This window comes from Homo sapiens, chromosome 6 (assembly GCF_000001405.40).
Source record: "Homo sapiens chromosome 6, GRCh38.p14 Primary Assembly".
NCBI lineage: Eukaryota > Metazoa > Chordata > Mammalia > Primates > Hominidae > Homo > Homo sapiens.
This window is the reverse complement of record NC_000006.12, coordinates 114,308,177-114,334,542: the sequence shown is the minus strand read 5'-3', so window position 1 is coordinate 114,334,542 and position 26,366 is coordinate 114,308,177. Positions and strand designations below refer to the sequence as shown.

Sequence of the window (26,366 nt, the reverse complement as noted above, 5' to 3'; positions counted from 1 at the left end):
ATCTAACAAGACCACTGTTGTTTATGTGGTGTGTCATTGGCCGAAACGATGTTATGCAGTACATGACTGCAGTTGCACTCACACTCTGTAGGCAGTAGTGGGAACTGACATTTTATGCAAATGGAATGTCCTCATCTGGTGAGCTAGCTGTCTGTGACCTAAAGTTTCTATTTGGCTCACTTTTTCTGAGCTGAATGCAACAATATAGGATGAGAGGGCACTGGAAAAGAGCCTTTTTCCCAGGGATGCAGCATGGAGAATTGGAAAAGCTTGCCACGGGGAACTCTAGGGTTCCTGCAGATCTGAAAGGTCCCCTCGCACCCTTGAAAACATCCAGAAAAGGCTCAAGGACTGTTGTCTTGCTCACCTGACTTGAGTGCTTCTCAGGGACAGGGATTGTATTCTTTTCATCCCTATTTCCGTGGTACTTGGCACATGGTTTAATGGTGCAGACACAGAGCTCCTTAGTGTGGGCACTCAGAACTTCAGAAGCAGAGAGCTGAGGCACCCAGACAGGAGGACCTGGGGAAACTGGGCAGAGGCAGAGCACAAGACGGGTACAAGGTTGTATGTGGGACTGATGGGCTTGCAGATGCTTGGGTAGCTGGGAGATACTTCTTTCCATTTTATTTTTACTTAACTATGGTTCAATTCCTCTGTTTCCAAATCTAGACTAGATGTGTGATACCAACTTAGCTCTGATATCTGACTCTTTAAAGTGAAGAACATTATTCCCATTGTCTTGATAGATGTGCCTGGCACATCATAAAATCTTTAAAAATATTAGCCGTAATACGTAAACCCGGGAGACGGAGCTTGCAGTGATCCGAGATCGTGTCACTGCACTCCAGCCTGGGAGACAGAGCAAGACTCTGTATCAAAAAAAAATTTTAAAAAAATATATATATTAGCCATAATATTTTCAGATTTTCTCTGAATATAATTATTTTTTCTTAATCGGTTGTTTATCTTATCTTCATACCCTGTCCATTCTGAAATGGATTGCCAGTGAGTTAAGGGTTATTTATAGCAGCATTTACTTTGGGAGTTTCTGAATTCCACAAATATTAGCATTCTTTAAATAAGGGCTTCCAACTGTATACTACCAACAAAAAGATCAAGTGCTTGAAAATTTTTATACACCATTACTTTTTTAAGGTTACCTCTTCTCAAATACTTTATGTTATTTTGCTCTTCTGTATTGGCAGTATCATCTGCGCAGACATCCAAGAAAAGTGAGAAACTAAGAATAGTTTGTCATAAAGATCATAGCAGGAACATAGGTACCTCAAGATCATCTCCTCCCACTTGTAGTCTGTCACCAAGATGTGACAATCCTGCTTCCTGAACACTACCTATCTCACCAGCCCCAGTGCTATTCCTTAAGTTCAGGCCATTGGAACTTCTCACCTGAATCATAGTAGCCTCCTAATAAGCCTTGGATCTCCATCCTCTTCAATGCTTGATTTTTTTTCTGACTACAAATCTGATCATGCAGTTCACTTGCTTACTAACCTGCAGCATCCCTTACCTTCAGGGTAGAGTTCAAACTAGCTCAACCTACAAAGCCCTTACTATTCCAGTGGACCAGCCTGGGACTCAACTTCTGTCACTCCTCTGCAAGGTCCTTACAATTGGGTGACTCCAGGGAAGGAATGGACCATGCTCCCTCATACTTCATTCCTTTCTATATGCTGATCCCTCTCCCTAAGGGTTCTCTGCTTGTCTAACCTCTTATCTTCCACACTACCTCTCTTTGTTTTCTTGCCCCTTTTCTATGTAGCTCACCCACCTCCACCCAAGCCAGGATGGGCTATCTTTCTGCTTCTCTGTTTGGTAGTACAGATCATACTCTATTGAGTTAATGTTATTCCCCTGTCACGCACACACATAGACACACACTCTCTCGCCACCCCCAACAGTACCTATATCTCCAGTGCCTAGCATAGTGTCTGGATTATATAGGAAGCACTAAATACATTTTGATAGGAGAAATAATCATCTTAACTCTCCCTGTGTCTGACTTTTTTATGCCTTTCTTACTCGCTGAACTTATTTCAGTATACATTGAACAGGTACTGTGTGTCAGGCAGTGTGCTGGATCTGAGAATATGATTACTTTATTAGTCTTTATATTACAAGTTATCAAAGAACTTGTAAGCCCAAGGGCAACCCAACTTTCAACGAAACAAACAGTATCGAGTGTGCTAGATGATGGAGAAAACGCATAGTGAGGGCACGATATAAGAAAATGGGGACAATGTGCCTGGTGGAGCAGGGAAAACTCCACCCCTTTGTCCTGCCCTAACCCCCTACTACCTATTTTTCTCTAGTATTCTAACTGCCTAGAAGTAAGCATCCATCTGTCAATATGATTATAATAATTTTTAAGAGATGATTTAGGTCTCCATTTCTGTAATAATAGTCTATAGAGAATTAGGCCATTTTTATTTTCATTTTCTACTTGCAGACCAAGAAACCTTCAAAAAGTTCTGTAATAGTCCATGAGCTCATTTCTGAGGTTTTCTTTTATTTAAATTTTTTAAATTATATCTAATAATCATATTATTTAAGTTCATTTTTCTCTACAAAGCAGAGGACTTATATTTAACCAATTATTAGTAGCCACTTAATGAGATTTAAAAGTCTGAGTTCTCTTTTAAGAATGGAAATAAGTATGAAATTAAATTCTTTTACCATGACCAAAATGGAAAACTTAATAAGATCAGAAGATTAGCGAACAACGTATGGTAATCACACTACAGATGTGTCTCTAGTACTAAATAAATAGAAATGACCTGTAGATTAATACATTTAATGGCAAACATTTGGAAGCAACTCTTTTTTTAGATGTGCATGGTCATCCCCTGGTAAGTAATTATATATGCAAGTAAAATAAGAAATTAGTTTCAAAAATATAACATGTAAAATGTAATATTACCTTCAAAATATATAAAATATAATACACTATTCTCTAAAGACATTGACATATTTAATTTACTGAATAAACTAGACCATTTTAGGTGACTTCTTGTATATGATTCCTGAAGTTAAAAACAAAGTAGTAATTAAATATTATGTTCTTTGCTTTCCTCTAAAGTACATAAAAATATTTTAATTAATATTCCCTAATTATGTGTATATTATATTCCCATTTCCTGTCTTAAAGTGAGAGAAAATCTTGAGCAATAAAAAAGTAGAACCAAATTAATTCTCTGTACTTTTAGTTATAAATTTACTTTGAAATTCTTAAACTATTTTGAAGATGTAACTATATCCTGTTTTAAAAGACACCTTAACTTCTTTCTCTGACTTTAGTAGCTTTCTGATTACCAATAATTCCATTGCCCTAAGAAAGGGCCTAGTTTTATTATCTTGCAACCATGCGGTTTACTGTGACTTAATTCTATCACAATAACAATCAGCCATTCTTGGTCTACAGGTAGTTCCCTACATACTTTTAATATTCCAAAATATTGAAATGTTGGAAAGCTGAACAAGTCTTACACGTGTTATAAGTAGCTGAAAGTAGGACTTACAATCCATACTGAGAGACTTTTGAAATTGAAAGGGGATATATTAATAATGATGCTGAGAAAAATGTTATGAAGTCCTAAATATGGTTAATGTGGTGCTTGCTGCCTTCCTGTGCCAGTGGTTTACTGTTTGGGAAGACCCCTTCTATCAGCCTGTCTTTTTTTACCCAACACAAGGCTGGGGAAGACATTCTGGTAATGACGCATGTTGCAGTCTTTGTTTTACCCAGGACTCCCTAGATACCTACAGTAGGCTTGAGGAGAAAGACTTCATTGTTTCAGAAGAGAACCAAGTGGGGTCTTGGCTCTCCAAGGTAGAAAAAAGGGAGACTGATGTATAAAGGGAGTACAGTGCAGAAAAGGAAAATAGGGACCTCTGTGAGCGTGGAGCTGGGTGGAACCTGTGGATGCTCATGTGAGGAAATAGGGTCCATGTTCTCCCCATTGTAACCATCACTAAACCAGAAGGTTGGACGCATACCTTTGGCCCTGCTGCCTAAACATTTGCTGTGAAGCATCCCCCACTCACTTCATCTAGCTGGAGTGGGTAGCAGGAAACATGACAGTAACTCAATATCATGATAATAGCTCAGAATCATTGCTCCTACATTCAGCAGCTATTTACCGAGCAACTACTGTACTCTAAGAACTTCATTCATTGATACAAAAGACAGTTCAGCATATTACAGGCCATTTAGGAATGCATTGGAGGAGGTGGTAGGACCCATAAAAGTAAAAAAAATTCAGAATTCCAACCATTATCCATGTTTATTTTCTTGGTTTTTCTTTCAATAAACCCTACTTTTTAAAGGTGTCTATTTAATGTGTTCTTTCTTCTTTTGAGATGCTGATCACTTGGAATTTTAAACATTTAAAAAAAAATCTGGAATAATCTAAATTTTCTCAGCAAAGGAAGTGAGAATTTATGTCATGGAAATGGGGACATTTATACCACTCCCACCGGACTGTGCATCTCTTACCCAAGAGGGAGTAGCAGGAAGAAGAATGCAAGTGTGTGTCTTTTGCCGACTGTATTTCAAACATACATTTAAGTAGTTCTACTTTTTGTCATTATTTCCATCTGAAAAACTTTTTTCTTTCTTCCTGGGACAAAAAACTCAAATTACTAATTCTATTTAAATAATGTACTGTATTCAGAAGAGTAGCTGCCAAATTTGTTGAGACCTACAACAAGATAATTAATTATCTAGCACACAAGGACTATTGGAGTGTTGGATATAAAACAGATGGTGGAAGAAGAAGGATGAGGCAGTCAGGATGCTCTGAGGGTGTGATAAGTCTTTCAGCCTCAGTGGGGTAAAAGCTACTTGTGCGCCAAACCTCCTTCATACTTCCTGCTGTGCTTACTTTGTTTTTGTTGATCCTTCCATCACCCCATCACTTTACTCCTTGAGATTCCAGTTTCCCTTTCCACTGCCACCACATTCATTTTAAATGTCAAGAGAAGTTAGAGAAGTTAGGGGAGGTGAGGGCAAAGGTCTATTCCCCTTGGACACAGAAATCAGTGCCAGCCTCTGTGGCAGTCCCAATGCCAATCCCGTGGAGCAAAGCAGACTGCATTATGCTTGTCCTGACATTGCTTTTAGTCATGCAGATGTAGGCTATTACAGAGTTTTAGGTTCATACCAGAATCAGTTAGATAAATTAATATTACATGCAAACACCATGAATTTCTTTTGATTTGCAAATTTCAAAGTCTTAAACTGAAATCTAAACATTTTCCCAGAGAAAACCTGGTTGAATATCAGTGAAAAAGGTTATACAAGGAATGGTTACTACTCCCCACTTCAAAGTGATGCTCCTCTATGTGTAATCAAATTTGCCAGCAATTAGAAGGTACATTCATACTGAACTAAATATTTGATGGTAGAGATTATAGTGACTTCACTATTGGTGCTTTTCTTATAGATTTATCATCTATTACAAATTACCATCATGACGCATTTACAACTCTGCGACAGTCTTAGTACTTGGCATTACAAAGAGGGGCGACAGTTAGATTTTAGATATTAAAAAAAACTATTTAACTTCAAACTTTATGACTCATGCACTAAAGAAATACAGAATAATTCAGATAAGACATCATCACAATAAAGGTACTCATTCATCATAAGAAAGAGTGAGTTTCTGATCTGGGGAAGTAAGCAGTCACCTTGCCTATCCCACCCTCTCAATATCAAGCCCATCTTTTATCATTCAAAGTAGAGTTCCCTAAAATAGATTACACTGACAAGTAGTAATTACTGACAGCTGCATTTAATTAGCAAAGCAGATTCCTGCTCATGACAATAAAGTATTATTACATGTTTAGCGTTAGCACTGCCAGTGAGAGGTGACTTTGCTAACACAGAGCTAGAAGACCTGTTTTCTTTATTTAAAAGCACACCCAGCTTGGCTGGAATTGAGCTTGTGCTACGTGGGAGTGTCTATGGTTTTACAAAAAGAAAGAAAGACAGTAGCTGTAAAGTGTTTTTCTTTTTCTTTTTCTTTTTTTAGGAAAACAGGCAGATTGTACAAGGATGAGAAGTAGTCTAGTGCCAGCCATTGGTTCCCATTCTGGGATTGTGTGTCAGTGTTTTTGTGTTTGTGAGTCTGTGTGTGTGATGGGTAGGAAGGAATGGAGGTGTTTGGGTGGCACAGATGGAAAGAAATTAATTAATCCCTGTAAATAAGTAATTTCTGATTATATTAAAGACACTATCGCTACCCTTCCTTCCTTCCTTCTTTCCTTCCTTCCTTCTTTCCTTCCTTCTTTCCTTCTTTCCTTCCTTTTTTCACTTCTTCTTTACCTTCTGTACTTAACCCTATACACATCTCTAGTTTATGGAATATCATAAAAAGTATATGTGATCAAATTTAGGATTTTATATAAACTCTAAATTTTACAATTGATTGCAATTTCCATCCATTCTTTTTTACAATAAGAAGGCTTGACTTATCTGCTCCTACCTCTATTATTTCATTTCCACTGCCCTATCTCTCTCACCTGGCAGTTCTTACTAAGTGTGAGCCTATACTGATGGAATTCCAAGCATCACGTAGACATTCAATATCTTGAGCAATATCACCTTTCCAACATCATCAATCCATAATGCATAGGTAGATGGTGCTAACTTTAAGGATTGTGAAGATGACTAAAACTAGCAATTCTTGACTTGAATGACATTTGCTATTTTTATTATTTAAATATATTACTCAAGATATATAAACAGCCTATTGTGACATTATCAGTAGAACCAGTCCTATAACTTAATGTAGTTTCTCACATTCATGGAACTCAATTCCAAAAATATTTACTGGTAGTCTAAAAGTCTGAAAAAAAAAATGATGTTGCATGTCTGGACCTTATGTTTGTTGGGATAATATAGCGTGTTTTCACAATGCTGTTTTAAGTTATCTGGATGTTGGCATTTATTTTTCAAGGTGTAAAAATAGACTCTGTATAATATACTGCCATCTTGTAATTTGCCATTATAAATGCTATATTCATAAAAATCAACTTATGTATCCATGGCAATAAGAGGCAAGATGAATATGAATAGAGAAATCCTAAATTGATCCTCAAACTAATTTGCATCATCAAACTGTTCAGCAGATCTGCCAAACTTCTTCTTTTGTCTTTTCTTCCTCCCTCCCACTCACCCTCTAGTGGACATAGCTAAAGAACAAGGAAGATGCATAGTGAAAGCCCACAGCCAGGTAAACAATGGGGAATCCACAAAGGATATGGCCAACCCACTAGTTTAATACTTATCACTATCTACAAGTACATTATGACCACCAACTGTATTCACAACCCCAGACAGGGCACTAAATAAATGTATTTAAGGTAAAGAATGTGTCATCATTGTTTGCAGACACTAATCATTCTAACAAGGATATTTAAAGAAAAAAATGTCAGGAGCTTATCTGTATTCTAGGAGATTTTACTCAAAGAAAATTCCAAGAAACAGCAGTTGTGTGGATACTAAATGTAAGTATCCAAATGGGCATTCAGTTAAGACCATTTAAGAGTTATTTTGAATATTAAACCACAAAGCTTCACTAACACCCTAAATTTAAAGCCCTACTGAGTCTTATAATATTCTGATGTTTAAATCCTATTAAGAATAGAGGTTTATTTTTATTTTGTGCTTTAGAATAGAAGATTCTTCACTGAAAAAGAAGTTTACAGGATTCAAGGGCATTGACAAATTTAAAGCCTTACTGAGTCTCATAATATTCTGAAGTTTAAATCCTATTAAGAATAGAGATTTATTTTTATTTTGTGCTTGAATAGAAGATTCTTCACTGAAAAAAAATCTAAAGACTTCAAGGGCATTGACTAAAAAGAAGTATTATGATCACTGAAATTGAGTATGTTTGACAACTCAATATTTCAACTAGAAAACTTTCCAAAATTACATCTATAAAGTTGGAAACTCTACTATGCAACTGCTCTAATTACTGTGCTAGTTCATAAATTGGTACTGAGGAATAAAGGTTCAAATATTGTCTTTTAGGAATATCTTTCACTTGTAATATTGTCATTCCTGTTTCAGTCATTAGGCAAATACTTATTGAGGGCCTACTGGTTTGTTTTGTTTTGTTTTGTTTGAGACAGAGTCTCACTCTGTCACCCAGGCTGGAGTGCAGTGGCGTGATCTCCGTTCACTGCAAACTCCATCTCCCAGGTTCAAGCAATTATTGTACTTCAGCCACCCAAGTAGCTGGGATTACAGGCATGCACCACCATGCCCCGCTAATTTTTTATATTTTTAGTAGAGATGGGGTTTTGCCATGTTGCCCAGGCTGGTCTGGAACTCCTGAGCTCAGGTGACCCACCCAGTTCACCCTCCCAAAGGATTATAGGCATGAGCCACCAGGCCCAGTGGGCCTACTTTTTTAATAGAGATAAAACACAGTCCTCTGGCTTCAAGGAGTCAGGTGAGAAAGTAAATTATTGCATTGCAATTTAAATAAGGGGTAGTTCCTTGTAATTTCTCCCCTCTCATCAACAAGAATGTAAACTCCACTGAAGGCAAGAATTTTTGTTCACCAACATAGCCTAAGCATGCTAAAATATTGCCTGGCACAGAGTAAGTGCTCAATAAATACTTGTTGAATGAAATCATAGGTATATGAGGTGGCATGGGAGAAGAGCAGTGGAACAGAAAAGAGGTTGTGAGGGAAAAGGGTCTGAAAATGCTTCCAGGAGGGGGTAAACCTTGAGATCCATCTAGTAACTCTAAATAGAAAATAATTTAGCAAAACTTGCCAGGATCATGTATGCCTGCATAAAACTGAGTGGGTTTGTTTTTCCCTTTTTGTTTTGTTTTGTTTTGTTTTTGTGTGTGTGTTTATCTTAAAACCTGCGTTAACAGTGAGTTGGAGAAACACTAGTTTAGCAGGGAAAAGTAATATACAAGTAATTTGAATATTAGGATGCAAGAAAACTCCTTGAGACACCTCTCTTCATCTCTATGTATGTTTCACATGTTCAACAGTTATATCCCAAATCTATCTTTCTCTCCAGACACCTAACAATACTATCTGCCAAATCCAACCCACCTTAACAAAGAAATAACACTTTCATCATGTTCTGTCCTAACATGTTTTTGAAAGTTATCTAATTTTGATCAATATTGGGCTAGAATACCTTTTTCCATATTTTAAACTGGAACAGCCTTTTCCATAAAGCCTAGACCTCTTTTGTGGTCTAAATAGGTTATTATTTTAACCCTTCATCAATTGTGACTGAGTAACTAACCCCAACAAGTTGATGGAGTCTTGGTCTTAAGACCAAGTTGATGAGGTTTGGGTCTCAGCCTCAAGCCAAATTTCTTACTGAAGATGATAAACAAATCCTCTGCTCATGCTAAACCTAGCAATTCATTCATTCAGAAACTGGGAGATTCAACTGATGCAGTCAATGTTCACTTTCTACACCAAGCCAATCCTAAGGATTTTTTAGAATCTTTGTTTAAATGTTTCTTTCTCCTGATTATTGGCCTGGAACTAACTGTAGACATTTCCTGCAAGTATAATCATTTCCTAGTTTGACAGTACTTTATTAACCAGTCACAGGACTAAAGTTGTCTTAGGCTGTAATATCCCTTAAGTGGAGTGAGACACGTTATCCGCAATTGGAATCACTAGAAACCTTAAGAGCAGTGATTCTACAGATGTATAAGTGATAGTTCAGACCTGTGGAGCCCATCCCTGGTCCATCTGAATGCACCTGAATATGTTGGTTGAATGTCTGCTTTCAGAACACCACTATACAGTGATGGTACCGATAGACTTTGTGCATCTAGACCAGTTGTCTTATAAATTGAAATAGGCTTTGGCTTGAAGAGGCAAAGAACATAAAAACAAGTCAATAACTGACAAGTGACACTTCATATGCACAAGGGAATTTATGTTGATGGACACTGATCTGCAAGAAAACAGAGAATACATCCCACCCTATATAATGATTAAATAATTCGGGGAGAAGGTCATTCATTTTTTAAAACTGAGAGTCAGAGTCATCAAGCTAATGTTGCATCAAAATGTTTTAGGTCCAAGGATTTTGTTCTATGGTACCATGTTTGAAAGTCAAAAGCCATGTGTAAATGATGAAGAAAAGTGATGAGCTGAAACTAGAAACCTGCTCACGTAAGAAACTACTTGTCCCTCTAAGGCCAAGTTAGAGATGACAGTTTTTGGAAAAGATATTAAAGGGAACACAGTTTTAATTCTCTCACATTATCTAGAATTTAGAAGCTTTCTGATTTTTCTTATCCAGTCACTAAATTGGGTGCCAATGGCACCTGGCAGCCCTGTTGTCTAAAAGGGAACCACAGTGGGTAAGCATTTTTATGTAGTTACATTATATGTGCAAAAATAACTATAGCAATACATAGCAGTTTTTCTGTTAGGTTGTATTTACCTTCACCTTCCTCCTCTTGAATCTTATACTCTCAGAATCTAAGAAAGGACAGGAAGAAGCCAGTGTCCCCCAGCAGGGGGAAGAAGACCCTGCAGGGGTCTTCTCAAAATGTCTTTGTTAACAGAAGGAAACAGCACAGCTACTCACCCTCTGACTCAGTGTTCCTTTAAAACAGCCTCCCAGGCCTCTTTGGCCCTAAAGGTAAAACTGTGTTTGCCTTTTGAGAATCTTCGAAACACCCTGTCTCAAATTAAGATCCAAAACCTGAAACCAATACTCTATAGCTTTATACCCCGGATAACTCTGTATACTTTATTTTTCCATTTACTGAGTGGGAAAGTATAAACTAAATGTGCATAATGAGATTTGTACTGGTTGAATACACATTGTATGCCACATCATATACCATATTAAACCCGTAACATGCATTATATGTTATCTTCATAATAATGCTATGAGGTAGCCTCCACATTATACTTTTACAGATGAGGAAATTGCGGCTTAAATTAAATTATTCAAAGTTGAACATTTAAAAAGAGGAAGAGATAGGACTTGAACTCCTTATCTTTCTGATTCCTGCCAAAATTTCATGATCCCTGCCACCAATCATACTGTCAACTAAGGGTTACAATGATTTTTGAGGATAAAATGTAAGCACCCTTGTACTATTGGTATGAACAGATTAATTATTTTACCTGTATCACCCCCAACACATAAAAATCATCCCAAAATGAGTCCTCCTTAATCCTTTAATAATTTTACATATCATTAAATATGCACTAGGCAGTTTTACATATGCTATCTTTCTCTAATCTGAATACTAATCCTGCTTTATGTTTTCTTCCTTCCTACCTTCTAGGTAAAAGAGTCTCCCTTCATTCTGGGGCATGGCTCCTTATCACATTTGTTAGTTGGCAATAGGCTACATTATGTTGAGGTAACAAATGACCAGTCTCAATGGCTTAAGACTTTAAAGATTCATTTCTCCCTCCCACTATGTGTGTATTGCAAGTTGGAAACTCCACTCCAAGTCTGCACTTTAAGTCCCCGACCAGCAGAGCAGCATTTATCAGGAATGAAAAGAGATCATTGCTAAGGACACACTGGCTCTAAATGCTTTCCTCTGAAAGTGACACAAGTCACTGTGTTCATTTTATTAGCCAAATCAATGCCTATGGTCAAATCTGACATCCATGAAGCAAGGAAATATAATTTTCCTACCCCCGGGTGGAGATGCAAATATTTGTGAAGTTTAATACTGTCTATACTATTAGGTATGCATGCATTGCCATATCGCAGTAATATAGCTAGTCTTTTATGTGGGTAAGTGAAATAAACCTTCAGAGAGATTGGGAATTATAGATGGCAAGAAAGGAAATAAGCTCTTAGGAATTTTCTCAAGTGCTACCTTAGCAGCTTCTACAGAAATGACCTCCAGGATTCTTGTCCTTTCACAAACAGGTTTCTTCACATTTATTACTTTTGCTTAAATGGATTTTGGTCATTATCAACAGGGAATTTATAGGCTTCACTGTTACCTTTTTTAATTTAGAATATATATTTAGAATTTGGAATCACTTTCTCTGATGTCAGTTCTGCAGCTGATTTTTTTTAATATGTTATGTGAGCAAATGTAGATTATAACCATAAACACAGTACAAGGAAAAAGCAGGCCCACCTGTCTCTTTCAAACCTGATTAGGAAAGGTTGTGCAGACAATATTTTTAGTATGGTCTTAAAACTAAGGTTAAGCTACTTTGAAGCCAGTTGGCTACCACAGACTTATTCATTTTGAGAGTTAGGATAAAACAAATTGAAAATATAAACACATTCTGAAAGACGCATTATATTGCTACTTTAAAACCACATTTATATTTCAGTTGCGCAGGAAATACATTTGCAGGCATGTAGAATTTTTCTTCTCTGACTTTGTGACAGAAATTCTGAAAGGCTAAAAATTCTATTACTTGTAGTTAATGCTACTAACAAGAATTATCATGCCAAGGAAAAGTCTGTATGCTATCAAGAACTGTGTAAATGAAAAAAGCCACATACTATGGTAATCTAAATGGTGTGGAGAAAAGTAAATTCAGTAGTGATTGTAAGAAAATAAGTGGCTTTTCCACTTCTTATAAGTATGATCTTAATAATTAATTGGAAAGATCAAGTCACCAAGTTATTAAATTATTAAGTGAGCAAAAAGTGTCAGACTAGCCTGTTTTTTCTTTACCTTCCTTTATCACGGGATATAGACAAATGCCAAAAATCAGATAAACAGTCAAATGCCAGACACAGATATATGTGTGTGTCTATGTGTAAAAAGATACATTGACATGCATATTTTGCTAGAACATTGTATATTGTACCAAATCTAATACTTTGAAGTAGACTTTATGTTATGTTGATATTAACATTTTTATGTGGGTAAGTGAAAAAAACCTTCATTTATTATTGTGTTGTGCTACATGTATTTTAAAAGATCTTTATCATTATCGAACTTGCACTGTTAACAACTATTGAGAGATGGCAATGGATTGGAGTCCCCAGCTTCTTCAGCTTACAGTCTTACAGAGAATGTGGAACACAGAGCAATAACTCAAGCCAGAAAGTGCTAAGCCCAAGCAGGATAATAAAGAGTTTTATAATGAATGAGAGGCAGAGCCAGAGCTGTTCACCAGGCTAATTGAGAAAGACCTTGAGAACACCTCTAATGGCATTAATGAAGAAAAAATTAAAAGGGAAAGAGGACAGGAAATTTCAGCTAAAGGTAGGTTTATGAAACAGCAAATCGTTTTTGATATAGATGGAGCAATAAACCCAAATGCCAGAATGTTTCAGGCACTGTGCTAGGTATTTTTATATTTTTAATCTCTACAATGCTATTAGGCGGAAGTGGAGCATTCTATATGAGGGAAAAATATAAAGAGGCTTATAGTAGTTGGGTGAATTGCCCAAAGTTTCAGTTAGATGAAGCCAAAATTAATTAAATCCATTCATTTATTTGTTCATCCAGAAATATGCCTGTTCATGCCTGTAATCCCAGAAATTTGGGAAGTTAAGACAGCATGACTGCCTGAGGCCAGGAGTTCGAGACTAGCCTTGGCAACCTAGTGAGACCCTGGCTTTATATATTATATATGTATATATATATATATATAGAGAGAGAGAGAGAGAGAGAGCACTTCCTATGTACTGCCATTATAGGTGCTGAGAATACTGGAGTGAACAAAAGAGAAAAAATACTCCTGTCCTTATGGAGCTAATATTTCATGGTTTTCTGTTTAGTTTTTAGCTGTGCAAATTTTTCTCAAATAAAACATTAATAACTCCCCTACACATAAAGCAGATACAAATAAAGCTGTTTGGTTAAGGTGATGTAAGGGACTGGGACCTCTACCTGGCCAGAGCTTCCTTCACCCTTTCTCATTACATTTATACCTAGTTAGAAAGCCCCTACACCCCGATACTGCTACCAAAATGGTAGACATATCAATGAGGGACAAGAGAAGTGGGTGCAGATAGTGAAATAGGAATAGAGAGATCACAAGAGCTATCTTATGATGCAATCGAATTAATATGGGAGTGAGGTTATTTGGACAGTGAGAGGAATCATAGAAGGGAAGAAGACTTTGGGAGGTTTTTCAGTAGCTCCCCTGAACTAGTGGACACTGAGTAGATACAGAAGGATTTGGAAGACATAATGAATCAGCATATAAAGACTGTCATGCATTAGAGAGACATTATAAATTTGAAGATAGAGTCTAAGTTTAGAAATTAGAGCGTTGAGGCACCTAGCGTGGCTTTAATACTTAAACTTTGTAACTTTGGTGAAATTACTAATTCGACCTGAGTCTCAGTTTCATTAGAAAAATGGATGTAATAAATACACCCTGTCTAATTGTAAGAATTAAAGATAATGTATGTAGAGTCCCAATAACAGTGCAGTCACCTACAGAGTACTCATGCCACCACCAATATTTCTAAGATTTTTCTAGGGAATGTCTTGTATGCATTCAATAACAAGTTCTAATAGTTATTATTATTATTATTATCCTTATTTCTTCCTCTCCAGTGAAAGATTACAAAAGAAAAGGATGCAAATGAAAAACTAACAACTTGATGTGCCGTCCATTGTTATGAAAAAGGATGAGAGAGGCAATGAGGCTCTACGCCCAATTGGGATAATAGTAGAGCCACTAACAACAACAACAAAAAAATAGTATCAGATACTTAAAGACGTACTCATACATGTATGCAAAGGAATAAAGTATGTTTATTACAATCTTGTTTGTAGTAGCAAAAGACTGGGAAAAACTTAAATGTCCTTCTGTAAGGACAGAAGAAATAAATTAAGGCATAGTCATACAATGGAATATTATTCAATCACAAGAAAAAATAAAATAGAACTTTAAAATATGAAATGGTTTCCAAAATAACTGTCAAGTATAAAAGCAAGATATTTATACTCTCTGGAAAAGTAACATTTTAATTTGCTCACCTGTGCTACTTATGATATATGTACCCAGGGTACCAAAAAAGAGAAAAAAAGTAGAATTAAAAGATGAGAAATTGATGTTGCCCCTTAACAAAGACTTCCAAAATGGCCTTCACAAGGCATCAGCAAGACATAGCCATAGACTTTGAAAATAGCAGTGACAGCTGGTAACCAGAAGCTGTACTATATAAGAGTCAAGTTTACCAAAAACTTCAAGATAAAAATTATTCTCCTAGGCAGTATTTGTCTGTAGAATCATTCCCAGGAGTAATATCTTTGAATCCAAAAGAGGGGAGTTATCTAAATCATAAAGTTGTGTAATGGTGCATGTAAATTGGATAATGCAAAAGAAATGTATTAATTAAGAAAATTAAACATTCTGAATTCTTATATTTTCTGTGAGATTGGAATATATAACATCATCAGAAACATGTAAGTAAACTTGTATCATGTTTAATAGAAACCACATAAATAAAAATTGGATGCATATTTAATTTATATATCTAGATAAATATATCCACTTTGTCTTATATATCCACTGTTTGTTTTTGTTTTGTTTTGTTTTGTTTTTTGCAAACAAATAACAAAGCAAAACAAAAAACTGCTAAGATGATAGAAATACCTACATTTTGTGTCTCCTTGGGCTGATAGGAGCTAATAAAAGGGATGTTTTAATCATTCTTAGAAAAAAGATTATGGAATTATAAAATCTTAATAGGCATTGAGCACTTGCTAGGTCCAAGCATAGTGCTGAGTGATTGATATTTTAGTTAGTCTTCATAACAACTTGACAAGGTAACTGCTTCTATTTCCCCAAGAGGTTCATTTACTTGCCCATGATCTTGTAGGTAGTGAGAGGTCAAGTGGGCATTTGAACCCAAGTCTGCTGACACCTTATTTGTAATCACGATGCTGGTTGCTCTAGGCTTAGGGTATAACCTGCAAGAGGGAGATGGGGTAGGACTCAGTTAATTATAAAGAGCTAGAGGAAAAGCAATTTAAGAGAACAGATTTGTACATAGAAATAGGAAATAATGCTGTGAAGAGCCTTAGTGGGCAGAATCAATGACCTATATTTTACTATTATAATTTTGCCCAGGGCAACCTTTTGTTGTCAGACAGTTATTAAAAAAAATCTACTTAAAGAGTCTGATATTAGATCCCTGAGAATAGGGGAGAGGAGGAGAAAAAAATAGCAATTTGAACAATCCAGTGAGGAGTAGATACATAAGTTAGGAAGATAATCCACATGGATTTTGAAATCAATGAAGGGATTGAAGTTGAGTTAAAGCATTGTTAAGAACTTGTTAAAAAAATATATGTCCTATGCTTCTGGCTGGTGCAGACATTACAGCTTTTTCTAATTAGTCACCCTATATTATGGGCTGGACATGAAGTGGACAGAATATAGTTTACTCTCCAGGACAGAGAGCCATGAATAGCAAGGTGTTAAATGGTGGAGATTAATAAGCCTTGGCAGGTCAGGGTAGGGGACTTTGGGTGGCATCTGCTCACACTACAGTGGGCTTAACTCTCGCCAGTTGTATGCGTAAGAGCTAAGAGTTCCAACTTTCAAGTGGAGAAAAGCTCATTTTATTTACTAAAGTACCCTAATTTGAGTATTTGAATTAACAGTGATGTTAAGGAGGACATCCCATTTTCTCTTGTTGATGTGTGTGTTTTAATGTAATTTTGATGATGGGGTAGTCAGATCGCTAGCCACCCTGTCTAAAATAAGCCTCATAACTTTTTCCCGCCCTCCAGCCTACCCCCCCGCCCCCCGCCTCCCATCATTACTCTTATGGTTCCTTCATGGCCCTTAGGACCATTTGTGGAATAATTTAGTTTACCTGATGTTGGTGTCACTCCCCAAAGTAAAGCATAAGCATGACGAGGGCAGGCACCATGTTACTTTTGTTCACAGCTAGGTAGGTGCCTAACCTACCACTATAGGTACTCAATAAATATCTACTAAATAAACAGATGGATGTATGAAATGTATTTTTCATTAAATGTCAAAGAATAAAAAAATTACAATATACTATTTAAATATTATATCCATAGATATGGCTCCAAACCCAGAAGAAAGAGTATTTTCCTTATTGTGATTTTAAGACTGTTATAGAATTCCTTCACATTTCAGTTAGCACCTCATTCTTAAGGGACATCTGGATACTGGAACTACATGCATCCGTTTACTCCAAGTGTGTTAACGATTACCCTTGTTAGTAATGCAGGAAGCGGAGATCATTTGGGGAGGAAAAGGGCACTTCTACATGAGAATGTGAGAAATCCTATGGGTATTTCCTCCAAGATTGACCTATATATTTTACCTAAACTGAAAATAAAATTATTTATGTTTTCACAGTGACTTAGCTTTTAGGGGGACGTTGGACATAAATTCCACATTTGATATTTTTACATCTTAAGGAAACCAGGAATCAGGGAAATTAAATTACTTGCACAAAGTTTCCTCACTGATAATTGGAAAATCTAAGATATTAAATCAGAGCTTTGAATCAAACTTCAGTGAGTTTCCCATTAAAACATAGAAGAATAATTTGCTTTTAAAAGGAAAATCTCATTTTATTTTTCTAACTAACTGTGTAACTGCTATGCAACAATTTCATTGCCTCAGAACCTGAAAATAACAACCACTACCTACCAAACAAAAAACATTCATGATTCACAGCTCACCTCTTTCAGAGAAGCTAATCTAAAACATTGGCATGTTCAATAATCTAAAACATTTTAATCTTATCTAAAATATAGAAAAATTGTTGTTGCCCTTAAAATCTTTAAAATAATTTGTGCTGTTGATTCAATTGACTTGTTCATCTAGGAAGGTTTTGGTTTTTTCTAGCAGCATTAACTGTAGAACATAAAAGTAATATTGAAATGCTTTTTTGTTAGCCCAAGAGTGTAAATATCTGGCAAGTATAATGTGAGTTACTCTTCCTTTGCTTTTATTAATTTTTTTTCACTTTTTGGATCATGTTGTCACTTGAACACTTTTGCGTATATCTGGAATCATCTCCTCTGTTCTCCATTTCTTGTCCCCTTGGAATTAAAAAATCATCAATTTGATTTCAGTGCTCATCTGATATGTGACAGAATAAACAATACTGGATGTGTTCCAGGCACACATTACATTGAATGCCATCCCTCCTCCAACAGATGGCCAATGTGGTGTTTGTTTTATGAGTGTCCTTAGATCGGGACAGCTTCCTGCATCATTGGTTTATTGCAACCGGTAGTGATATGGTTGGAAGAGTAACTTCCAAAAGCAGATGACATTTTGGTATAATTTGTACAAATAATTATCTATACACAGACAGACTACTAAAATACAAAAAATAATTTCTACAGTCTTGAACAAAGGTGGCATTATGGAGGATCCTTGCTCACTGATGGCCTAATTCACTTTATATTACAATAAATTCAATAATTGTTGATAGAAAAAGTCACATGCCTGCTTCCGCTTCTCTTAATGGCACTGCAGGGTTAGATTGCAGCATGAATGAAAAGATGGTATGTTTTCAAAGCCTTGGCAGCTTGTGGTGACCTTCAGAAGAAATGAAATGCTCTGCTGGCTAGAGAAACAATTGAGCTGAAACCAGTGAGGCGCAGTAAACTCAGAGATACACTTCCCAAATTAAAAGCTGTTAGCAACAACTCAGACAAGAAGAGAGAGAGTAAAGAATATCACTCTGCAAGGTGATTTTATGCAAAGATTTTAAAGTGGGAGAGAAAACAAAGTGCAGATAAGAAAAAAAATTTTTTCTCTTCCTGAAGAACTTAGTGTACATATGGTATCTAGACTGTGAACATATATGTCTATAACCTGTTGAAAAGCATACAGAAAAAAGAAAGTCCAATCTTTTCATAAAACAGAGCATGAAAGAATTAGTAGGGGTCATAATATTTTATAATCAAATTGTTTTCTGTGCATCTCTAAGTCACAAAACATCAGTCAGTGGACTACATATTTGAAGAATCCTTTTAACATATTTGTAATAAAATATGTGTGCTATTGTTTCTCAGATGAAATGATTAAAATATGTATACTAAATCTGCTTACTAAATCTGTTGATCATTAAGCTCTATGATTGTTTGCAATTTTTTCTATTTTATTAAAATACATTTAACAAAGTTTCTAGTAGTTTGTTGAAAGACTAAAACCACCCCTTAAATATGTGTTTAGGATACAGATCAGACAAAGGCAGAAGACTGAAAATATATCTTTTTTATATTTGCACGGAATAAAAAGAAATGTGATGGACAACAAATAGATGTGCCATGTTCTAATATGTGCAGCAGTTCTGTTAAAATGCTTATAAATAATGCTAAAATAGGTATAAAATAATCCTAACCATTCATGTTTACATATTCCACACATGAAAATTTATTTGCACAAATAAAAATGCTCTTATATCCACAAAGGCTCTATTTTTCCTGTGTTACCCAAGCCACATACTATAGTTATTAATTCTACATTAATACTTGTTGCTTTAATTACATTGGAACTAGAAATGGTGGAGGATGATGGAGGTACAATAACATAAAATTAAGACTATGTTAATTTTAATCTTACTTTAAAAAAATTGTACTTCTAGAATGTCTTGCAACTCTCAGAAGCCCTCTCTTTACTTGTTACTATTTTAATGGTGCACCCTTATTCATTCCTCTTCACAGTTAGTGACCTACATAATATTTATGCCAAGTCTTAAATCTAAAACTTCTGAGTGCTCAGCATAAATAAAAAATGAAGTTGTAAGCTTTCATGTGTACCTACTGTTTATCTATGAAGAAAACAGATGTAAATGAAAATTTAAAGCTGAAAGGATACTCCTAAAGTTATTTTAGTGTTTCTTAATCTTTTTTGATCATTTTCACTTGAAAATTTGATGAAAGCCTGGCCATATCTCCAGAGAGGAAAAAAAGAGCATACACACAAAAGAACTGTGTTTTATTTTTGAGGATTTGCCAGCTCTTTCTATGAACTTCAGGGACTTCTTGGGCCTATGAAAGCAACTATAAAGCTCATTTTTGTTTTTTCAAAAAATTACTCCAAACGTTAAACTTCATTAACCATTAAATTGAGAGGCATATATATGGATTTCAACTTCAACATTTGCTCCATATTGAACTGCAGCAAGGCTATCTTGGCTGCAACTGAAATTCTTCTGTATAATGTCTTAGCTTAGGAATCATTTGTGTCTATGTCTAAAGTAGTGGTTGTTAAAGTATGATGTCTAGACCAGTAACTTCAGTGTCACCTGATAATTTGTTAGAAATGTAAATTCCTGAGACATCACTCCAGACCTATTGAATCAGAAATGGGGATTGGGGCTTGGCATAGTGGCTCACACCTGTAATCCCAGCACTTTGAGAGGCCGAGGCGGGTGGATCACTTGAGGCCAGGAGTTCAAGACCAGCCTGGCCAACATGGCGAAACCCCATCTCTACAAAGAAATACAAAATATTAGCCAGGCGTGGTGGGGCATGCCTGTAATCCCAGCTACTCTGGAGACTGAGGCATGAGAATCACGCGAGCCTGGGGGGCAGAGGCTGCAGTGAGCTGACATTGCACAACTGCCCTCCAGCCAGGGCAACAGAGTGAGACTCTGTCTTAAACAAACAAACAAACAAAATGGGGGTTAGATCCAACAATCTAGTTAAAGAAGCACTCCAGATGATCCTGATGCAAGGAATTTCCTTATTTCTAATTCTCATATCCAAGCATCTGATTTTAATTACTCGATCGATACATAATTTACATACAATAAATGCACCTATTTTAAGTATACATTGAGTTATGACAAATCTATGTACTCATTTAACAGCCACCACAATCAAGATATTGAACATTTTTTTCCATCTCTCCAGAAAGTTCTCCTGTATATTTGCAGGCAATTCCCACCACCTCCTCCCCAATAAACTACTGATCTGATTTTCATTACTATCGATTAGTGTTGCCTGTTCTAGAACGTCATTTCTAAATGAAATTATACAGTATTTATTTTTAAATCCAGCCAGCTCATTGTGTATATCATTACTTCATTTCTTTTTATTGCTGGATAGTATTCAGTTGTATGGACATACCACAACTCTTTATCCCTTCACCTGTTGTTGGACATTTGGGTTGATTACAGTTTAGGGCTATTATAAACAAAGCTGCTGTGAATATTCTTGTACAGATCTTTTTGTGAACACGTTTTTCTTTATTGTAAGCAAGTGCCTAGGACTGGAATTACTGGGTTGCATGTACGGTATATCTCCATAAGGCTATCAAACTGTTTTCCAGTGTGATATACTCCCACCAGAAACGTAAGTTCCAGTCGTTCCATCCACATCATCTCCAATATCTTGGTATTGTTGGTATGTTGTTGTTATTTTTAACAATTACCCTGCTAATGAGTGTAAACTGATCTCTCACTGTGGTTTTAAGTTTCATTTCTCTGATGACTAATATTGAGCATGTTTTCATGCATTTATTGGCCGTGAGTGTATCTAGTGTATCTTTTTTTTTTTTTTTTTTTTTTTTTTTTTCTGATGCAGGGTCTCTTTCTCTCACCCAAGCTGGAGTGCAGTGGCATGATCATGGCTCATTGCAGCCTCAACCTCCTGGGCTGAAGTGATCTTCCCACCTCAGCCTCCCTAGTAACTATAGGCATGTACCACCATGCTCGGCTGATTTTTGTATTTTTTAATAGAAATGGGGTTTCAGCGTTGTTGCAGGCTGGTCTTGATCTCCTGGCCTCGAGTGATCTGCCTACCTGGGCCTCCCAAAGTGCTGGGATTATAGGTATGAGCCACCACGGCCGGCTGAGTATATATTCTTTGATGATGAATTATATGTTCAATTCTTTTTAACTGGGTTTATTTTCATTTTATCATTCAACTTTAAGAATTTTTTTTCCACTTCTGGATATAGGTCTTTTGTCATTACATGTATCAGAAATATTTTCTCTCAGTCTGTAACAAGTCTTCTTTATTTTCTAATATCTTTTGAAGACCAGAAATTATAACTTTAATGAAGTTCAATTTCTCAGTTTTATTTTTTAAGTTTTTAATTTATTATTTCTGATCTAAGAAACCCTTGTCTACCTCAAGGATCTTCTCTTGTGTCTTGTTGTAAAAGTGTTATAATTTTGGCTTTTATATTTACAAGTATTTTACATTTCTATTTAGATATAAATATATTTGGTATATGGTGTGAGGTATAAGCCAATGGTTTTTGTTTTTTGATTTTCCATTTGTATATCCAGTTGTTCCAGCACATTTGTTGAAATTTCAGACAAGCATCAGTTTTTAATTTTCTAAAATAATTTACACTAGTTTTGTTTTAAAAGTTTAAGACTCTTCTCCATTATTCTTAGATTTTGACCAGAGCTTCTATTAGATAATGTTCACTTGGAAACATAGTAACATGAAATCCAAATATTCCTGGAGAATTTAGTATTAGTCTAAATATATGTATTAGTTTTGCCTAAATTCAGCTAGAGGAAAGAAAAGACAAGAATGCTCTAGGTAGAACTCTACTTCATTGGAAAGGTGAATCTGCTAATGGAGAACATTTCATAGTTAAAATACTTAGTTGGTAGTTAAAATACTACCAACTTTCAAAGCAGAATGCTAAATTGAAAGTAAAATGACTGAAATAATGAAATGCATAGTAAATTATGAAATTATGCATTGATTTAGTTATGACCATTGAAAATATCTTCCTTGCAGCTGGGCACGGTGGCTCACGCCTGTAATCTCATTACTTTGGGAGGCCGAGGCAGGCAGATCACTTGAGGTCAGGAGTTCAAGAACCGCTTAGCCAACATGGTGAAACCCTGTGTCTATTAAAAATATAAAAATTGGCCGGGTGTGGTGTTGCGTGCCTGTAGTCTCAGCTACTCAGGAAACTGAGGCACGAGAATTGCTTGAACCTGGGAGGCGGAGGTTGCAGTGAGCTGAGATTGTGCCATAGCACTCCAGCCTGTGTGACAGAGTGAGACTGTCTCAAAAAAAAAAAAAAAAAAAAAAAGAGAGAGAGAAAGAAAGAAAATATGTTGCTTTAAATTTCATTTTAAGTGGTAACAATTTAAAAATAGCTTTATATTTAATATTGTGATGGAAATATGTTTGTTTGTAAAAGTTGAGAAGTTATAGGAAAACATAAAGAGTAATTTAAATCAACCATAACCGTTCTACTCAGAATAAGCATTCTTAACATATTGGTATATATTCTTCCAAATATACAATCACAAGGACCAAAATGGAAACATATTCTAAATATCATTCTTTTCCTTAAAACATTGTAGATCTCTATATCTTAGTAAATGAAGGTCGAATAGCATCAGATTTTATTATTTGAAAGTAATACATCTTGTTTAACCACTTCCCAGTAATGTTCATTACAAATATTTTTGTTGTTGTTTTGTTTTGTTTTTATTTTTGTCATTATTAACAGTGCTATGATTAAGAGCCTGGTAGGTATAATTTTGCATTCTTATCTGATTGTTAGACTGTTTGTTTCAATGAATAAAATTGGTAGTTACGTTTCTTTGTTTATTTAATGTATTTATTCTTGAGCCTGAACTTAATCTTGATGACATTGGCTATATTAGCATATTCAACCTATTGGAACATTTATAATCTGGAAGTAAACCAGAAAGTTGCCAAACTCTATTTGCTTTTCCAGGGGATTTTGAGGCCTTAAGTGAGTTTACATATGTGAAAGTAGATGGAATATTCTGTTACACATTTCTATCATTGAAAATCGTCGGGGAATATAATCATATCATTAATTAAACATATACAGACAGTTCTCTACTTATCAAGGTTCAACTTAATGATTTTTCAACTCTACGATGGTGTGAAAATGAGCAACATAAGATATTTTTAACTTCCCATGAGTTTTTGGGGACATAACCACTATTGCAAGTCAAAGAGCATCTATATACAACAAACATCCATTGTGCACAGGTCTCTACCTAGATGCAAAAGGCCTGAAAAAAATAAAAGACTTCCTAGGTTCCTAGCAGGAAAAAAAAAAAGCTATTTGGTGAGTAAATAAAGTCTTTTCCACAAAAAAACGTTTTTGAAGTTTTTGCCGTTTATAATACAATTGAATTTGAGAACTTAAGATGCCATTTTAATAGGAATTTCTTGCTCTGGAGTCCTTAATAAGTTACAGATAAGCATAATTATTTGTTTTCATATCTCTCTGAAAAAAAATCTAGAATCCCAAACCTTTTCTTACACAACTACCTCTCCCTGACCATTGGCATATAGTAAAGGCACGTTTTCATTCATTTATTGAGTAGCTATTGTGCAATAAATGTACTGAGCATCCTGGAGGAGCTTGCCACCTACTCGGGACTATAACATTTGAAAGATATTTCAGATAGGAGAATTTTAGTTTGGATTTAAATCTAAGTCTTCTGTGAGGACTATGAGTTTAATTTTTTCCCCCATCATTCCATCATGGACTCATCATTTCCTTGTCCAGTACAATATATTGGAGAGAGCAAGTTTACTGCTCACTTCCATTGAATCATAGGTCTTTTTCTCTGCACATTACCCTGAAGACCTTAATGAAAGGCATGTTTGAAAGTATACGTAAATATAGATACTTTTTCTTTAGATGTACTTTATATTTATGAAATCAAAGTTGGAAAAGAGCCCTGGCAGGCAATATTTAGTGCAAACTTAATTCTCTGTTTAGAATGTGAAACAATCTTGGCCCAAAGACAAATGTAGTACTATATTTTTCAGTGTTTTATTTCTCATATTTAAAAAATTTAACACAAAAGGATATTTAATGTTTTCTTTTTTGTTGTTTTTGAGACAAAGCAGCATCTCACTCTGTCGCCCAGGCTGGAGTGCAGTGGTGCAACCTTGGCTCACTGCAACCTCCGCCTTCTGGGTTCAAGCATTTCTCCTGTCTCAGCCTACTGAGTAGCAGTGATTACAGATGCACACCACCAAGCCCGGTTAATTTTTGTATTTTTAATAGAGATAGGGTTTCTCCATATTGGCCATGCTGGTTTCGAACTCCTGACCTCAAGTGCTCTGCCTGCCTCAAAAGTGCTCTGCCTGCCTTGGCATCCCAAAGTGCTGGCATTATAGGTGTGAGCCACCACACCTGGCCAGGATATTTAATATTTTCAACCTGTGGTTACTACTGAATTCATTATATTGGGTAACATTTTAGAAATAGGTGGATGTGTTTTATTGACAAGTCCCTCACATAGTAAGAGGTTTTTACCTATTACTGCTTAAATCTCTTCTGGACAACTCTATTTGTACTTTAAGTATTTTACAAATTTCGGTTATTTAAGCCTACCACCCTTTTAGAGACTTTATGTCCCTGAGTGCTCATATGTATTCTGTGAAAAGATTTCTTAGAGTGTGGTCAAAGAAATCACTTTCAACAGCATCCCCTAGGTTACTTGTTAAAGGGCTTTCCTGGCCCTATCTCTTCTAAATCTGGATCTCTGTAAGTGTGACTCTGTATTTTATATTATTGACGTCCCAGATGAGTATGATGTTCACTACAGTTTAAGTACCAATGACTTACGGGATCAGTTCTCATTTTTGCCTCCTAGTTGCCGGTTAACATGATGCCTAGTCTGAAGGGAACATCATCCTTCTCTTGTTTCATACCTGCTTGGCTCTGAGAGCACCTGCCATCAAGGACAACTGTGTCTCACCAACTTGGGAGGAGAAATGTTTCTATGGGCATTTCAGGGTTTTGTTGGCATGCAGGGAGCTGTCAAGAGAATCACCTTACTGATCTATTTGTTCACTCATTTCTCCTTACCTGGTCTGGTTTTCACCTCCTCCTGGGACTGGGTGCTGGGGCAGTTCAGGGGGTCAGAGGCATTTCATGAGCTACAGGTCTATGTCAACAGTGAAAGAGCTATTCTTTCTTGTACTCTACTCAAATGTTCAGTGAGCCATCTAGTTAGTTTTTGTTTTTGTTTTTGTTTTTTGAGACAGAGTCTTGCTCTGTCACCCAGGCTGGAGTGCAGTGGTGTGATCTCGGCTCACTGCAAGCTCCGCCTCCTGGGTTCATGCCATTCTCCTGCCTCAGCCTCCCGAGTAGCTGGGACTACAGGCGCCTGCCACCACGCCCGGCTAATTTTCCTGTATTTCTTAGTAGAGACGGGGTTTCACTGTGTTAGCCATGACGGTCTCGATCTCCTGACCTCGTGATCTGCCCGCCTCGGCCTCCCAAAGTGCTGGGATTGCAGGCATGAGCCACCGCGCCCTGCCACCATCTAGTTAGTTTTAAACTACACTGTTTTCTGCTATGTAGGAGGGTCAAATAAGTACAAGAATATTAAGTTTAAGAGACTTATGCTCCAGAGATAATTTTTTAAAATTCAATTTATGCTTAAGA

At 36.2% G+C, this 26,366-nt stretch overlaps 1 protein-coding gene and 1 long non-coding RNA gene across 11 annotated transcripts in view, besides 1 other annotated feature; one reads left to right on the top strand and one right to left on the bottom strand.

Annotated features, from left to right (window-relative positions):
- Positions 1-26,366, bottom strand: part of HDAC2-AS2 (HDAC2 and HS3ST5 antisense RNA 2) — a 371,029-nt gene that overhangs the window by 6,187 nt on the left and 338,476 nt on the right. The gene's annotated exons all lie outside the window — the stretch shown is intronic.
- Positions 1-26,366, top strand: part of HS3ST5 (heparan sulfate-glucosamine 3-sulfotransferase 5) — a 287,428-nt gene that overhangs the window by 8,481 nt on the left and 252,581 nt on the right. The gene's annotated exons all lie outside the window — the stretch shown is intronic.
- Positions 14,230-14,969: an enhancer, noted in NCBI's record as "OCT4-NANOG hESC enhancer chr6:114640738-114641477 (GRCh37/hg19 assembly coordinates)". NCBI's record gives its function as "activates a minimal SCP1, AML or CMV promoter by ChIP-STARR-seq in naive H9 embryonic stem cells {active_cell/tissue: H9 hESC(naive)}" and the evidence as "EXISTENCE:reporter gene assay evidence [ECO:0000049][PMID:30033119]".